This window comes from Homo sapiens, chromosome 2 (genome assembly GCF_000001405.40).
Source record: "Homo sapiens chromosome 2, GRCh38.p14 Primary Assembly".
In the NCBI taxonomy this organism is placed as follows: domain Eukaryota; kingdom Metazoa; phylum Chordata; class Mammalia; order Primates; family Hominidae; genus Homo; species Homo sapiens.
Genome location: NC_000002.12, coordinates 214,219,064 through 214,237,956, shown reverse-complemented (window position 1 = coordinate 214,237,956; position 18,893 = coordinate 214,219,064). Strand labels below are relative to the sequence as shown.

The following is an 18,893-nucleotide window of genomic DNA, read 5'->3' as shown; positions in this document are numbered from 1 at the left end:
CTTACAGATTTAGAAGAATGATAGCATGGTTTCTATACATGAAACATAGGAATTAAAACTACTGTAACTATTAGTTTTAATCTGCATCTATAGAACCCAATATAAGTCCCATTAAACTTCTTTCTTTTTCCAAGTTCTTTAAAAATCATACTTTTACACTATAATATACTATATATTTTACCTTGTGTGTATACTTTCACATCCAGATGACTTTTTAGAGAGGAAATGAGATGAAGTAAAGATATAGTTACTCCCAAGAGTAAACTCATAACTGGAATTATGTTATACATATTATTGTTTAATTTAGTAAATGACAAAAATTGAATCAACAAAATATTGGTCTCTAAATTATTACCACATTTTACAGTAATGAAAGAGATGACTATGATTTGCCTTTTCCTTTTTTCTGGGAGGACTATATGTATTAATCATTTAACTTATTAAATTTTTGAAACAAAAATCACAGTTCCCTTTACAAATTCAGTAATGTAGGAGTCTTAAAACATCTCAGAAATATCATCCTGTAAAGACATTCTCCATGAGCGTAGATCATTAATGATTACATGTATGGTAATTATCTTACGAATAAAATGCTAACAGCAATTAATGAATTAAGATCTGTGTTTTTTTTTTAATGTTTCATGGTCAATTTATCAAACACTATTAACTGAAAATGTGGTCCAGGTCTCTTGTGGAACACATCCCAAAATTCTCTTAAGTGCTTTCTTTATCTTTAGAAGTGTTACCTATTATAGGAACAGACCCTAAATCCAGAGAATAAAGAGAATAACAATGTGATTGAACAAGAGATAAAATTGTGCTTTCCTTTTGCTATGTGATTGCTGTCCCTGAAAGGGTCAATACTCTACATATGATATTTACTAAGAAATATCCTGGTGCTTAAAATAATATTCCACCTGTCCTTTCATGATAAGGTCTAAGGATCACAATTATACATTATGGATACGGAAAGAAGATGTCACTCTGGGGAGAATGCGTTCCATAAATAAAATGAGTAATGCCAGGTGGAGGATTCAAAATAGATATCATGCAGTTTTCCTAAGGAAAATTGCATAAACTCTGTCACTCTCAGCTTTGCCATAGCCTTATGGTTATTTCTTATATCACAGTCACTTTCAGTTTGCAAGATGATTTCAAGGAACTCATCTGAATCCAGAAGACACCTAAAAACCTCATGATCTAAAAATCCCTATATATGATTGCTACCTTATTTGGTGAATCGTAATAAATGCTGGGAAATTAGATATAGGCAGTGAATTCAAAATTGTATCTTTTTTTTTTTTTGAAACGGAGTCTCGCTCTGTCACCCAGGATGGAGTGCAATGGTGCGATCTTGGCTCACTATAACCTCTGCCTCCTGGGTTCAAGCTATTCTCACGTCTCAGCCTCCCGAGTAGCTGGGATTACAGGTGCCCGCCCCCATGCCCGGCTAATTTTTGTATTTTTAGTAGAGATGAGGTTTCGCTATGTTGGCCAGGTTGGTCTCGAACTCCTGACCTCAGAAGATCCACCCGACTAGGCCTCTCAAAGTGTTGGGAGTGTGGCGTGAGCCACCAAGCCTGGCCCAAAATTATACCCTTAAAAACTGTATTCATACCCAGTTTCCTTGTAATAGTAATTCTTTATAAGCACCTATGCTCTTATCATTTTTACTGTGTTAAACTTGAGCAGCTTAAACTGTATCTATAGCTATGCCTGGCACACAGGAATTAAATGCTCACTAGATGTAGCAGTAATTATTATTGAGCTTCAATTACAAGTACTAATTGATCTGAGTTAGCAAGACACCTAGCTCAGATGGGAGCTATTTACACAATAATATAGTCTGGCAGATGGGTAGGCCCTAGTTATCAAAGTTATGAATGAAATAAATATATTTACACCCCTACTATGTTTCTTTCATAGGAGGTAAGAATTTAATGCCCATTTTCTTCCTCAGAATAACCATTGATGCCCACCACACTGTACTCTACACATTGTACTGCTGTGTCCTGAAAATTAGTTCAAAATAAGCTAAGAGATAGACACAAATTCTAATTGTACTACTGGTTGTAGAATGAAATGATAGAGTTGGGTATATATTGTACTGTTGTCATAGCTATAATACATAAAGACAACAAATAATTTAATTGCATTATTGGAAATAAATGTTGTTTGTATAAAAAAATAAAACCTACATAGTTTAAACCTTGCAATTTGGTATTACTTTGCCAATGGGCATGAAGATGTAAAAAGTAAATTTTTAGTAATTGTTAAAAAAAAACCTTGGCGACCACAGACAATTCTTCTGTCCCACCAGTGGTAAGTTCTTCAATGGAATAAAGAGGGTGTCAGAGACACTTTTTAAAATTCTTCTCAATATGTAACTATTAAATCATTCTATGCAGGGTTCCAGGAGGTGTGTTTAAAGCTGTAGGTGTTTAGTGGAAGACATCTCAATGCTCGAAGGACAAGTTAAGTTCAATATTTATTTATTTGAGGAAGAAAATGCACATTAAATTCTTTACCTTCTATTAAATATCATACCAATAAATATGGTATAATATTTATTTCAGGAGTAAATATTAATTTAAGAAAGCTATGGGGCATTATTTATTGGAGAAAATATGTTTAAATCATTGAGTTTGGACTCAATGGACTCATATTAAGTAAGTTTGGACTTTCATTTAATAAAATCAACTTACATTTTATTTCAGGTGTATAAATTTGCTTTTGCAAAATGTGCTGTTGGACTTAGGTTGCTATTAATTAAAGGTATCTAAAATCAAATCAATACTACACAAATATTCAGTTACAATCTTTTTATGAATATCACAAAATCTAGGTATACATTAACTTATTAATCCATCAGTGTCACTTAAATGCAAAATCAGTTTATTTCCAAATTATTTTCAAGAGGGTCATAATTTGAAAGAATCTTTCATAATATTCCAGACTATGACCTCAATATTTCTGAAAAGTGGTGCATAATCATTAGTTGATACTTTTCTTCCCTTATCATGTTTAGAGACACCAATTCATAAAAGGGAATTAAGAAATAAAAAATTGCCTCTGTGTGTGTGTGTGGTACATGTACATGTGTGCATGTGAACATGTGTGACTATGTGTGTATGCAACATAAAAATAATAAAACCCTTTTCCTTATTCATGACCACAGTGTTTTGCTCAACAAAAGTTTGTTGAAAATTTACAAGAAAAAAACAACCCCATTCAAAAGTGGGCAAAGGACATAAACAGGCACTTCTCAGAAGGCATACATGCATCCAACAAACATATGAAAAAAAGCTCAACATCACTGATGATTAGAGAAATGCAAATGAAAACTACAATGATATATGATCTCACAGCAGTCAGAATGGCTATTATTAAAAAGTCAAATAAACAACAGATGCCAGTGAGGTTGTGGAGAAAAAGGGATTCTTTTATGCTGTTAGTGGAAGTGTCAATTAGTTCAACAATTGTGGAAGACATTGTGGTAATTCCTCAAAGACCTAGAACCAGAAATAGCATTTGACCCAGCAATCCCATTACTGGGTATACACCCAAATGAATATAAATAATTCTATCATAAAGATACATGCACTCCTATGTTCATTGCAGCACTATTCACAATAGCAAAGACATGGAATCAACCTAAATGCCCATCAATGATAGATTTGATAAAGAAAATGTGGTACATATACACCATGGAATACTATGCAGCCATAAAAAGGAATGAGATCATGTCCTTTGCAGGGACATGGATGTTGCTGAAAGCAATTATCCTCAGTAAGGTAATGCAGAAGCAGAAAACCAAATACCACATCTTCTCACTTATAAGTGGGAGCTCAATAATGAGAACACATGGACACATGGGGGGGGAAACAACACATACTGGGGCCTATTGAAAGGTGGCAGGTGGGAGGAGGGAGAGCATCAGGAAGAATAGTTAATGGATGCTGGGCTTAATATCTAGGTGATGGGATGATCTGTGTAGCAAGCCACATGTTTACCTATGTAACAAACCTGTACATGCTGCGCATGTACCCCTGAACTCAAAATAATTAAAAAAACCACAAAAGTTTGTCGAACAAAAAACTGCATACATGAAATATGTAAAAGTAGATGGTGCTTACTGGTAATTATACCTCATAATTTTTTTTACATCCTCATGTACAGGATTGGAGGATTTGGGAGAAAGATGCAGATGAAAAATTATTATCCAAATAATTTGTATAATCTCATTGAAATTATCACAGACTTTTCTATAAATGGTTATTACCTCAGTGGGCAGATAAGAACCCTGATGCACAAAGAATTGAAGTGATCATTTCCATGATATACACAGAATGTGTCAAAGTATAGATCTGGATTCTAGACCCAACTTTTTAGTTCCTGTCTTAGACTTCTTTCCAAAGTATGTACCATGACCCTTTATGATGTACCTTCTATGGCAGTCCAACTGTACCTCTTGGTTGAAATAGACAGCAATAGATCAAATATCCTAGTTTTATTGATTTTAATTATTCCCTTTCCTTTTACATCTATGTATCCATCCATCCATCTATTCTACCATCATCATCATCATCATCATCATCATCATCATCATCATTATTATCTATTTTTACTGAGAATTAGGGCACATATACAGAAGGCTACAGAGATTAATGTGTTATTGTAAAGCAAACACCTATGTAACTGCCCTCAGGTCAAGAAAGAGACTATTGCCAACACCCCAGAAGATAACCCTCTTGTGCCACTTTCTATTTCCAGGGGCTGTTCTCCCTCCTGGAGGCAAACCTCTATGCTAACACTTATGGCCCCCCCTTTTTTTGACTTGCTGTGAAGCTCTTTATAGTATGTACTTCTAAATGATATAAAACAGTTTTGCCTGATTTTGAACTCTTTATAAAAAAGAATCATAGGATATGTATTCTTTGGTTTTACTTCTTTCACTGCACATTTTATTTTGCTCTGTGCTCATTCATTTCCATCATTGGATGCATTGCATTGCATAGATATGCTACATTTTATTTATCCATACTAACTTGGATTGACATTTGGGTTGTTTTTTTAATGCTCCTCTTAACTAATGCCCCTGGCTTTTTTGAAATATTTATTCAACAGAGAAAATCATACCACATCAGAATTTGATGATGCTGTTTTTATGTAAGGTGGTCTAATAAAATTCTAAAGAAGGAAAAGCAGGATGACACTAAATATAGTCATTGAATATACATTATAATTCATTTGTTATTATATATGACACTAGAGATATTTAAAGAAATTTAAAATGAACTACTGTCCAAACATGCATTTGGCACTTTTAGAATAAATTGAGTAAATCCAATACAATCTGAGCCCCCCCCGACTCCTTCACAGTCAGAGGTGAGCAGTAATTTAGTTAATATTTGAATGCAATGATTTATATTTCTCAACACACTATAAGAATCTGAAATATTCTCCAAAGTTCTTCCATAGCTACCAATTCTATGACTAACTGGACTTTTCACAGCCACTGAAAACTCTGAATCACATTCACCACGAATGTTGCAGTTATCAGAAGAGAATATTAAATAAGAAAATGAAAATAATAAAGTGAACTTTATGACAAGTTTGGATGAGATACTGAAATATTTCATACCAATTTAGAATATATTTAAGGTAAAAGATACTATACTCTCTGAGATATTTCTAGCTTGAAATTCTAAATTTGACTTTTCATATTACCAGAAAAAAGAATAAATAGCATCTACCATATGTTTACTTTTTTTCTACAACTTCTTCCTTAACTATGACTGCAAGAATAAGAAAGTGTATTTAAAGATTTATGTAACAAAAATAGCTGTTAGTGCAGGGTAGTACATTCTAATATCACTTTTAAGTGATATTAAATGTTTGTTCTATTCATCTTAAAAATATATTAGTTAAACTTTTAAAAACATATCCACTACTATTGCATAAAAACAAATTATATAATATGTTTAGTGGTTATACAATAATTAAACACATAGAAAAAGTATTTGGATAAAACTGCATATAGTCTCTTTTTAATAAAAGAAACCATTTAAAATTTTAATCTCATTCTTTGAAAGAAATAAAAGTCACATTGAATTTTTAACTATTAATTTAGCAGTTAAAATACATAAATATATCCTCACATTCTCTTAAAGAAAACAGACAATGGTCCCCAAGGAAAACTGGCAATGAATTTAAGGAAAATATAATGCCTCTTGAAGGACAAAAGTATGTGCAGTTTACTGCAAGTTTCTTTGTGCTCTTTCCTTATCCTATCACCTCTTTTCTTCTTTTGGGGGCTCAATGCTGGAGTAATGCCACTTGGCTACATGAAGCCCTCTAGCATAGATGATGTATTTTTCTTTATTTTAATAGGAAAATAGAAATTTCAAAATTGTAAATGGAGAAATACCATGATTTCTTATATGCATGAGTATCGTTATACAATACTTATAAACTTATAAGTATTATTTATTTAACTGTAGTCTATTCTGAGACAATTTTTGCCTCATTTCTAAATCATGGGTTGTCTCAGTTCACTCTGAAGTCGAATAAATACTACTTCATATCTGACATAGTTCTTTAAAGAGTCTAGAAAACATGTCATAATAGACATGCATTTAAAACATCCACTTGCAAAATTAATTTGAATAATTTTTACCTCTATTCTAGATTGACTTGTCTACCTTTCTATTCCAGGCTAGATTGCATTTGAAATATTTTAGTCAATAAATAGCATAGATAATATCAAACCCTGACCTAATCCTAGACTCACTTAGTTGTTTCCATTAAGCACTGTTCTGGGACATGGTTGGTTATTCCAACGATGTCTGGATCCAACGACATAGGACACCAAGCATTATTACAGACAACATCTGAGATTGTAATAGACTGAAGCGGGTTAGAACTTGTCAACCAAAGAAGGCATTATAACCCCTTGACTATGCTTCCAATTTAAGATCTTTGGGATGGATATGGTTTCTCAATAACTGTCTCTTCCCCAACAGCTTTGAGACCCAAGATAGACAGATGGTTTGGTTCTGTTTGGCCCATCTTGTTTTCAAAATATTCTTTGTAAAATTTAACTCAAAAAACTGCCACAACTGCTTGCTATTTCTGTAATGACCCCTCCTCATTGCCTCCCCATTCATCACCTCCACAACAATGGCCTTCTCTCTTGGCTATCAGACACCAAATTAGAACTAGCCTGTACTTTGTGCCTCCTTTTGGAAATTGTCCAAGAATGTTGGTGTCCTCTGGAGAGATCTTGGTTTTGCATTTCATCTCTTCTGCACCAGCATGTGCATAGAGGTGCATTTTAATTCCCTGCTGAGAGCAAACTCTGAAAGCAACCTACTGTATCTATAAATATCCAATTATTTATGAACTAATTTTAAACTATCATAATATTTCTTCCTGAGATTAAAAGTTGTTTTCAATACTTAAAAGTTTAATGTAATAAATATTTAATATCACTGACGGGATATTTATTTATGTCTCACCTTGTTGCAAAAAGAATTTGTGCACAGCCAGAGCTGCAGCTAACATTGACATTACCTGATTGATAGTGAGGTCAATGTATTCTTTGGTTTTTCTAGAAATGAGCATTTTTGTGGACTCACAAAGGGTTAGAAAGTCCTCTTTTCCCTCGTCATGTTTATTGGCCTATTAGCTATACATTTTGGTTAATGTAGAAATTAGTTAGCTGATAGAAATATTATCTAGAATCACGTAACAATAATGCCAAACAATATAATTTAATACACAAAATACCCTGATCACTATGGGTTCACTGTTGTGAAATAATTAAAATGAGGAGGCTGAATATTAAATTTTTATTTTCATTGCTTCACATACTGAAAATTTAGGGAAATCATTCCGATTTAGCTATTTTTTCTCCATCTGCTATAATATATTAGGTGTTTGCCTGTTTATTTTTTCACATTCATCATATGTAATGCTGGAGTGTAAGAGAAAACTGAATATGAGGTTGAATCTGCAAAAATAGAATAGTTTAACATTACTGTGCTGCATTTTGCTGACACTTGTTATGAAAATAATATATTTTCATTAATTTCATAATGCTATACAAACTGCAGCAGACCAGAAGTTTGTGTATATTATACATTTTTATTAACATGTATTCTACACCATATTCAAAGCTGTCTCCCATGTTTGTATTGACTGTAAATATTTTCTAGGGGCATCAAGTCACCTTTTTTTTGTATCTGATTCCCACAAATATAAAATAAGCTGTGAACTATTGTTTTTGTTTTTAATCTTCCAAATTATAGTTTTTTAATAAACTGAATGAATATTAGCTTAATTTTTATGCTCTAAAATATTTAAATTATTGCATTCTAATAAGAAAACTCAATTGAAAACATTTTGGATTTCAAATACATATATACACACACACATATATATACACACATACACATATAAATATATATACACATACATATAAATATAATATACAGACAATAGCCCTTCATAATAATGAAAATTAAAAATGTTTGCACTGTTCTTTAGATAACAAATGGCAGGATAATAAAGATGCATGCCCATTCTTCTCTCTCACATCTTTAGCTATTTTTATGGATTAAGATATTTTCTCCCCTACTCTACTGAAAGATTAGTTACACCTCATGTTCCAGGAACCACCTGCCTCCTCTTCCTTTAATCTTAGAGCCAGAAGAAGCGTTTTTCCTATGTGCCCATCGTAGTGACCTTTACATCCTTTATATACTTTCTTCTATAGTGAAATTATCCTTTTTTTTTTTCCTGCTTCTCGTGGTAGATGGCAAGATCCATAAGAGAAAGAACTCTGTTTTGCTTCTGGTTGTATCTCCTGTACCTACCATAGTCCCTGGTATAATACTTGTTGAAAGAATGAAAGTTGGCTCCATAGCAGAAACTATGTAACATAATTCTTTGCAGCTGACTTAGACTTTCCTTTTCCTTTAATGTTTCTATCCATTTAGGCTGAAAATTATGAGTTTGTTAATGGAGACAAATGTTAGTGAAAGTCAAATCAGATATTGGTTCTGCCATCAATGTAGCTGAGGAGCTTTGAAGAAGCTAATCATAATCTTCCTGAATTTCATTTTTCTCATTTGTTAAATATTGTGATAATACTTTGTCTTTTAAATGTAGATTAAATGATAATATGACTGCAACAGTGCTTGAAGAGATAAAAGCTCAATAGGAGAGTAGTTGTGCAACTTTACCTTTTCATCAGAATCAGTTTGAGGTCAAAATACTGATGGCTGGGCCCTAATTGCAGACTTTCTGATTCAGAAGTTCTGGGGTGATAGAGTTTGCAATTCTCACAAATTTCCAGGTACTGCACACTTTGAGAACCATTGATATAGTCTACTGTTATTTTATAATGGTTAAACAGTTTTGCTTTTTCTCCTATTGATAGTATGATCCAAAGATATGAAAATAATTTGGCTATTCCCTCTCCTAACTATGTTCTTTTCTATTCCAATCCTTGGTAGCTTAAAAAATTACTTATAAAAATGAGGTAAAATATTTCCTATGAATGCATTTTAATATGTTAACATGATAAATTACTTGATCAGCTGTGATATAATGCTATCAAAATGAAAATAAATGAAAACAAGCTTTTGAGAAAACTTTTTCAATTATATGCATATTGAATTATGATTTAAATCCATGAGTCATAAAATATAGTTGAAATTTGCAGAAAGTTAACAAACTTGAATAATAATTGATTTGCAATTGTACTAAGTTCTTAAGGAAAGTAGGATTGAATCATGAATTTAAACAATTTGATACATTAATCTACTTGGCCCACTCTACTAATTGGAATGCATGCTTGCAGCATACTGTGTGACAGACTTGGTGAAAGATTATTTCTTTGCCAGGGCATATTCAATATTCAATTATTTTCTTGTTAATAATTTATCCTGCATAATAGAGAAAACACTGTAAATAACCATCTGTCTCAGGGAGCTGCTTTTATATTTACAAATAGTCACAGTACAGAATCTCATCAAAAGGAACATAGAAAGAAGGTTAACTGCTTAGATTCAGGAATTTTTCAGACTTCCATCTCTAAACTAGCCATTATTCTTAGCTCCTACTCTAGGTACAATAATAACAAACTGAGATTTGTCTAAGGGGAAGAAAATAATAAGATAGGAAAATTAAAGTTTTAGATATACACATTTACACACACACACACACACACACACACACACACACACATACACCTTCCACAAGAAAGAAATTTATTAATAGCAAAAATTCCTGGCTACTCAACTGGAAGTTAGAATTTTCAAAATGGCTTCCATCTATGGCAGAAAAGAGAGAACTGCTATAGAACAGCTACAGCAGTTACAGCAATGATTAATCAAGGAAGGAAGAGAAAGAGGCATCAGGATACAGAATACGGGTCTTTGGGATATGGGTAAGTACATATTGGAGTCCTAACTGGCAAAAGCGTTGAATCAAGGATAATAGGAAATGTTATATGTAGTTTTTGGTAATAACAAAATAAATTCTTAATGTTGTTGGCTTTTATTTACTTAATTCTCTCTTGTCTAAAGCAGATTTTAGGTATATTTGTAGTAAATATTAAAACTGTTTCTAATACTGTTTTGACTTTAGCTTATTAATTTTGACATTATTGATGCAGCAAATTACCCAGACTGTGGTTTATAGTCAGAATAAGAAGATGTGGAATCTCTAAAATTTCCATAATCACTATTATTTGACCACAAATTAATTGGAATAATTATCAGGAGGAAGAATGAGTTTAACAGATTCTAGGCATGAAGTTTATATTAATTTTATTGTAACATTTTAAAAATTAATTGCTTATATTAAAAGACCTTCTGGAAAACACTACACTAGACTTGGTTACATTTTCTGGACTAGTGTGCTAGACTGGTACATTGTCATGCCTTTGAGACATCCTTAATATTTTAATCATCTTTGAATTATTTTGATTCATACTTGGCAATCCAATTTAGCTGTTGTCTGATGTCAATAAAAGAGAAAAAGTATAAGATATCAGAGTGCATGGGGTGAAATTTTCAAAGATCTGATTATTGAAACTTGAAGAAATCAAGTACAATTTAAGAGCCAGGGGATCAGCTCCAACCAGAAATTGCCTTGTCTTTTTCCAAAGACTGAACTGAATAGTTCTTGAATTTCATGTCTTGTATCTCTTATTTTTCACTTAAGTGTCCAAAATGTGATCTTGTGTGATCCTATTAGTGTGCTTACCAGGGTAAGCTTTGGGGGGAGTATTTGGAAGTGTTTTAAACAGCCTTTGAATCACTTTTCTGTTCTAGGCACTGCAACCACATTTTGGTGAACAACAAAAGGTCAGAATTTGGAATAAGGCCTTAACCAAACTTGCTTGTCTTCCAAACTTGACACTTGTCACAGATATGATGGTTGTAATGATTTTTGTGTTTGTGGTTGAGGCTGTTTGTTTTGTTTGCTCTTTAAAGTTCTTGTGATTTTGAAGTTCTTTTTATTAAATAATCAGAGACCTTTTACCCCCACACCATGAATGTGCGCTTGGCCAGGTGACTTGATTTGGCCAATAGGACATTATCAGACTTAACACAAGCAGAGGTTTGAAAAAGTATGTGCATTTTTCACTTTGTCCCATGTACTTTCACCTTCACTATGAGAAGAATCCAAGGGGCAGAGCTGAGTCATACCAGCTAAGACTATCCTAGACGGGCTAGCCCCTACCAACCTGCCAGCAAACTTCAGACAAGGGAAGAAGCAGAGCTGAGATCCATTGAGACTTATGAGAAATCATAAGTGCTTCATGTTTTAAGCTAATAAATTTGAAGTAGTATGTTATGCAGTAATTTGCAAATGAAAACCTTTTCAGATTCTGTCTCCAGCCTACATTTAAGTAATGGTTGAAGTCCCACTGTTGGCTTTCTACCGGAAGTAGTCAGACTCCTTGATTCAGAATAACTACCTAGCCAGGAAGAAAAGATACCACTTCTAGACTGTATAGGGCCAGAATGTAAGTAATGATGTTTTCAATGCATTTGTAATTGCTTCTGGGTGTCTACATAGGCAGGCAGTTTATAAATTTGATTTCAATAACACAGTCAGTTTAAATGATTAGAAGGAAACAAACATCCACATATATTCCAACAGTTTATTTTTCAGATCAGATACTATATTATAAGTAAAGTAAATGTATTTATGTGCCAACACATAGATTGGACACACAACAATCACAAAGATAGTTTTTCCTCTCTCCTTTTTGATGTTTGATGTCAATGAAAAATATATGAAATATTTTCTTAACTGTTTTAGAGTTGAAGAAGCCTTTGTGATTATTGTGTTTTTGGTAATAATAAAAGCCTGTCACATATATGGAGATAATTTTCATATTAAGTAGATAGTAACTTAATATTTTACATATTGATATTCATGTTTCTTATGTCTTCAAAACAAATACACTTAGAATAGAACCATGTGTCCCTGCCTTCCCTGCTTTCACTCTGATCCAAGCATCCATCAGCTTTCCCCTGGGTTATCACAATAGACTCCTTATACCCTCATTCTCCACAATCTAGATTTAGGAAAAGCCAGATTAATTCTTCTAAAATGTAAGACTGTCCAATGAATTCCTACCTCACTCAGTAAAAGAAAAAAAAGGTCCCCAAATGGCCAGCAAGGCCCTACAATATTTGGCTCCATCTCCCTTGCTCCACGCATCTCTACATTTTGTCCACATCTCCTGTTGGTCATCCTATCATTGACTTATTGTCTTGCAGCTACATTGGACTTCTTGCTTCCCCTTGAACAGCGGGGAGCACTTTTTAAACTTGAGGTTTGTTCTTGCTGCTCTCTTCTATATGCATGGCTTAAATGTTACCTTATTCGTGAACCCTTCTCCAACTATTCAATAAAAATGAACAAATTCCTCCCTCTGTTAGCAATCCAATCTCTTCTTGTTTCAACAGCAACCATTATCTGTTAATATTGTGCACCAGTTAATTTCCCTATTATTTGACTCTACCCCTGCCCACATATTGACAACCCTCACTAGAAGATAAGCCCTATGAGGTCAGGGACAGTTCTACTCTGTTTCTTGGCTGCATACTCTGTTTCTAGAAAGTTGCCTCACTTATATTGGTGTTTCATAAATATTTGTTGAATGAATGAATGTTTGTTTGTAGTATTAATTTGCTTACTTTCAACAAGTAAAACATTTTGAAAACTTAAAATTTCCCAGGATTATAAAAGAAACCTTAAGGTTAATACCATTTTTTATCCAACAACAAAGCAAACACAGCTGTGTTCTTAGGGTAATTATTTGTACAGCCTTTCCCCAGAAATCCCTTAGTCTGCAACTCCTTCCTCTGATTTAATTCTCAAGTTTTTCAGATGAAGTAGGCATTATTTATTGGTTGCAAAGCTTTTTCAAACTTATTATAAACTAAATTTGTATTTCATCTGTGATTGTACTTATACATCAAAATTATAGTATTTGCACATACTGAAGAAATTATAAACCTCAATCATAATGGCTCATCTTTAAGAGAAATAATATAAATTATGTGTACATATATTTATGGGACATTCACTGTTTTTGTTCTGATTTTTAAGAAATCAAGTCATTGTTTGTGAAACATTTTAATTAGTTAGCAAAATCATCAATATGAAAGAAAATTCATGTATGGCTGTAGGAAGGCAAGCTGGTGTCAGGCTAAGGAAAGTGGCCAAGGAAACAGGAGTCTTAAGAAACTCAAAATTACATTGTTTGAATGGTTTTCCATTGCCCCTGGGAAGAAGAGCAGAAACCTTGGCTTAACTTTCAAGGCCCTTTATGATCTGGGGCCAAGGAGACTACAGCCCCACTAACAGCTGGTCTTTGCACTTACATTCTCATTTCTGTCCCTATTGAACAGCTTACCTTTCTGCAGAATGCTCTAAGTTTATTGATTCACTTTACCCATTCTGCTCCCTATGGAGAACTTCTCCTGATTCTTTAAAACCCATTTCAACATCTCTTCCTTTGGTCAGCCTTGGTCAATGCCTCATAACTGAAACATGCCCTCTTCTGATCACCACACTTTATTAGTATAGCAGTCACTACATTGCGAGTTTTCTGCATATGTCTGTGTCATCCACACTTGAATACCTATTTATTAAAGGCAGGAATCATCTCTTACTTATATTTATATCTCTGGTACAGTATATCATTAAACTTTGCACTTAATAAATATTTTAAGAATTATAATTTAAAATTGATATTTTATTATAATAGAAGTATCTTTTGATGAGAAGAAATACTTAAATTTAGGTTACTTTTAAATACCATTACCAAAACTATTTTATTGCTTTAAATTTTGCTACTAAATACCAACCTCTTAAATTAATCAAATATTTTATTTCAGTAGATTGCATTTTATTGTTCTGAAACAAAAGGTTGGATATAACTTTATTTTTTTTTTGGTTACTCCCTCACTTCTATGTTTATTTTTACCAATTTGATTTAGTTCATATGCTATACGTATTCAGAAACAACTCTCGAAGTGAACCTACTACTGTAAAATATTGCAGAGTGCTCACATGGGAAAATTACTATTCTAGGAAAATAAATCTTATAGTAATTTAGTATTCATTATTATAATGGATACTTCAGTGAATATTTCAACATCAGCTTTTTGCTAATGACCTATATGCTTCAACCCTTTCTCAAGAACTTTCATTTTTTGAATTAAGACTTAACATAGATTACCTCCCAGTGAGATAAAGTCTCCCCAGGAAGATCCAAATAATAATAAAAAATAGTTCATAATAATGGAAATCTTTTAAAATGCAGGTGTTTGTGATTATCAGGGATTTCTGCAATATATTTCATATTAAGAAATGAAAGGTAAAATTTTTGACATTAACCACAAAGTGAATGTCTTTTTTGTCAAGAAATTAGTTCTCAACAAGTGACTAAAAATTGAATAACATGTTTCTGAATATTCATTTGGTTCAAATAAATGGTATTTAACCTTGGTTCACCTTAAAATTATCTGTAGAGTTTTAAAAAATATAACCCAAGGCCACACCTTCAAAGATTACTATTTATTTGGTATGAGGCACATCCAGAGAGCATTTTATAGAAGCTCCCAGTCAATTTTAAAGTGCAGTGGGATAGAAAATCCATGGATAGACAGTCCTCAGGTGGATCTCTTGAAAATGTATGTTTTAGCTTGATTAGTCACAGAACTTGACTAAAAATGGATGTTTCAGACACTGTTCATGATAATTACATTGCTAGCAATAAGTATTCTACATGGTAAGCAACTATGTCATGAAGTGTAAAAAAAATTAAAGCAAAAGCCATTTATTTGATCCTGTATTTCACAGATTGAGTGACAAAAATTTTCTTCTGAGATTAAAATTTAAGGCTATAATTTGGCTGAAAAGATTAACAAGAGTTTGTGTAGGTGGCTGGTTCATTTCTGGCTCCAAATAGGTCATTTTACTACAATGTGCTCAAGAATAGCAAGGAGGGAGTGGTGGCTCACGCCTGTAATCTCAGCACTTTGGGAGGCCAAGGCGGGTGGATCACCTGAGGTCAGGAGTTCAAGACCAGGCTGGCCAACATGGTGAAACCCCATCTCTACTAAAAATACACAAATTAGCCAGGCATAGTGGTGGGTGCCTGTAATTCCAGCTACTCAGGAGGCTGAGTCAGGAGACTCGCTTGAACCCAGGAGGCGGGGGTTGCAGTGAGCCGAGATTGTGCCACTGCACTCCAGCCTGAGTGAGACGAGCGAAACTCTGTTTCAAAAAAAAAAAAAAAAAAAAAAAGAATAGCAAGGAAACTAATTTCTCAACACATTTTAATGTCTTAGCTGTGAGATAGATGTACCATGAAACATTCAATACCACTTTTCTGTGAGAATGGATGTCACTAGGCAAAAACACATATTTTTATTTAAAATAATTATTCAGATATTATCTATTTTTAATGTTTTTTTTCAATTGGCAGTTTACCAATTTTAATGTAATCCTTAAACAGTATTGGCTGATTTTGTAATAAAACATTCTAAAAAATATCATGCTACTACACTCATCAAAACCAACCCCAAACATAAGAAGAATGTACACTAACAAGCATGTAATTGAAATGCTAAAGTGAAAACACGAAAAATAACATGAAATATTTTTCTTTCTTTAGCATTCCTCTGATGCATAGAGTTTTAAAGCCATTTTTGTCTGTGTGTAGGCTCTGGAAAGTAAAAATGTCACTTTTTTTCTTTTTTGAGAGATCAGGTGGGGGTCAAAAGCTAAAGAGATGCATTCAAAAAAACAAATATTTACTCTTTAGCAGTTTCTCTCTTTTAATAAAGAGAGTTAAAAGAGAAAGATAAGCCATTCCTAATATCTATGACATTCAGTGGGACATCTTACTTTAACCGCTTTGTAGGTTTATTTAAGATAAATATTGCTGAAATATAAAATGGATGTGTCTATGTCTTTCTTTATCTTGAGTAAGAAAAATAGGCTGAAAAAATCATTGAAGAAAATCGAGACAAATGGCAAGCATGAGAAAAGAATGGAGCACAACAAAGCCTCGGATATTAGACAGTCAAGAAAGAAATAAGATAAGTTACAAAGAAAACATCATTCAAAAAAAACTACATTTAAAAGTAATTGGCTCTGATCAAAATACTTGAAATACTGTGAAAAGAAAAATAAAACTACTGTGAGAGTGAAAAACTTTTGTAGTAGGAGAGGCAATAAAATAGAATTTCATATGCATATCAAACTGTAGTTAAACTTCTAAAGAACCTGAACCTGATAAATATTTCTTATGGGGAAATTCTAAAATGCAGATGTTATTTTAGCCAGGAAGCTATTGAATGTGTGTGACACTCCGTTAGAATTATCAAAAGCAAAATAAAGGAATACATTGGCCCTCATAACTGGGGAATTGGGTGAAAAAGAAACTACAAAAGTCCTGAATCACATGCTCACCCCTAAGGCAGAGAGTTTGAATCACTCTCTTTTAACCATATGGAAAAAGAATGTAGTGAGTATGCTCCCCAAAAGATAAAGTAGATAAAGGATAGAATATAAAATACCTTCAGCACATGTCATATGACAGCTTTTATTTTAACCATGTTAATTTTATTACGTTTTAAGTAAAAAAGCCCCTTCAAGATTAATCCATTGATCCCTATAAATACTTGTTGGGGGTTTATTATTTCCTGGCACTACCTGAAGCATTAGAGGGAGAAACCTAACAGAAGCCTTCGATTCCCTGAATTTTGCCATCCAGTTTTAGCATATTCAGCTATAACAAATTCCATATTAGTGATATGTACAAAGTGTTATGAGAACACAGAGTGTTTAATTATGATTGGACGTGAGAGGTGTGAATGGGGAGTCTGAGAAGGCTTTGGGTTGGGGAGTAGCAGTGACTTAACTTTAAGGTTACCTAACAAATCTTACTGATTAAAAATTAACAAACTCAAATGCAACTAAAATTAGCCAAACATTAAGCTTTTCCGTGTCGTAAGCAGACAGTACCTTGGTAATCTTCAATTATCTGAAACTATATCTATCCAGAATCAGAAGTCCAAAACAAGTTTTTAGATGGCTGTAGGTAAGCTAAGTCATTTAAAATCATCTAAGGCTGATTTTCTAGGTAAAAGTTATAAGCAGATTAGATATAAGAAGATCTGGACCAAGGATTCAAGACTTTCTAAAAATGTGTTAACATTCTTATAAGATATTTAAATAGTTACTTACATATTTAAGCTAACTTAGGTATAAAAATCCTATTTACAGTCTTCTATTTTTAAACATCATATTCTATATCTTGTATTCTATTAAAGTTAATATGTTGATATGTTTTCAACTATATGTGTAAAATGTCCTTATAAACTATTAGATATGAAGGAGTATCAATAAAAAAATAATCAAAATGTAATGTATCTCTAGAGGATGAACCTGCCAACAGGTTTTGCTAAATTATCTTTTTTCATGTGTAGTAAGTTTATTAATAAGGTTTATACTGTCTATACTTCCATCATCAGTTAACAGTAATTAAGAAATATTTGGTTTGGTATTTCAGATGGAAATAAACAGCTGGGAATTGCCACATGCAATAATATATTTCAGTGAGAGCAAATTTGAATAAGTTACAGTAAAGACACACACAGACACAGAGAAACTAGAAGGGACATTTTCTAAGAATTTGGAGACTTTTATGGAATAAAATATTGTGATGTATGACATACAATATCTAGTTCTGTTCTGGGCAGTCTATTCCAAATGCCTAAAAAAGTAACTGGCACAGAGCAGGTACTCAATAAATTATCTTGTTTTGTTTCTTCTTCTTGGATTTTTTTAAAAAATTGGTATTTGTAAGAAAGTATAAAAATAGCAAACACTTAGCACTTTATATATGTGAGGCAAATATTTCAAGCCTTTTAAATTCAGTCCTTCATAGATGATAGTACATAAAATTTTACATAAGTAAATAATTCTATTTGATAAGTTGTTTCTATTCTATTTGATAAGTTATCAAATAATTCTATTTGATAAGTTGTTTCTCTTTTACTTTACAAAGTTTCTATAAATACTACTCATTATAATCAATAATCAATACTTTTCAGTTTCTCCTAAAAATAGATTTAACAAAAGATTTCTAAACCATACAAAACTGAGAATTAATAACAACACTGATTCATCTAATATTAAATGTAAATTCAGATTTAACAGGAGATTCCTGATATTTCCAAATGCCCAAATTTGTGGATACCACAATTACATTTAATTACCTTCATAAAAGGCAATAAAGTTTAAATTTAAATATTTGGGTCCTTAATTATTTCATAAATAGTAAA

The 18,893-nt window shown here is 32.7% G+C and overlaps 1 protein-coding gene across 12 annotated transcripts in view; it reads right to left on the bottom strand.

Moving 5' to 3' along the window:
* The window catches only part of SPAG16 (sperm associated antigen 16), a 1,126,038-nt gene that overhangs the window by 172,545 nt on the left and 934,600 nt on the right, over positions 1-18,893 (bottom strand). The gene's annotated exons all lie outside the window — the stretch shown is intronic.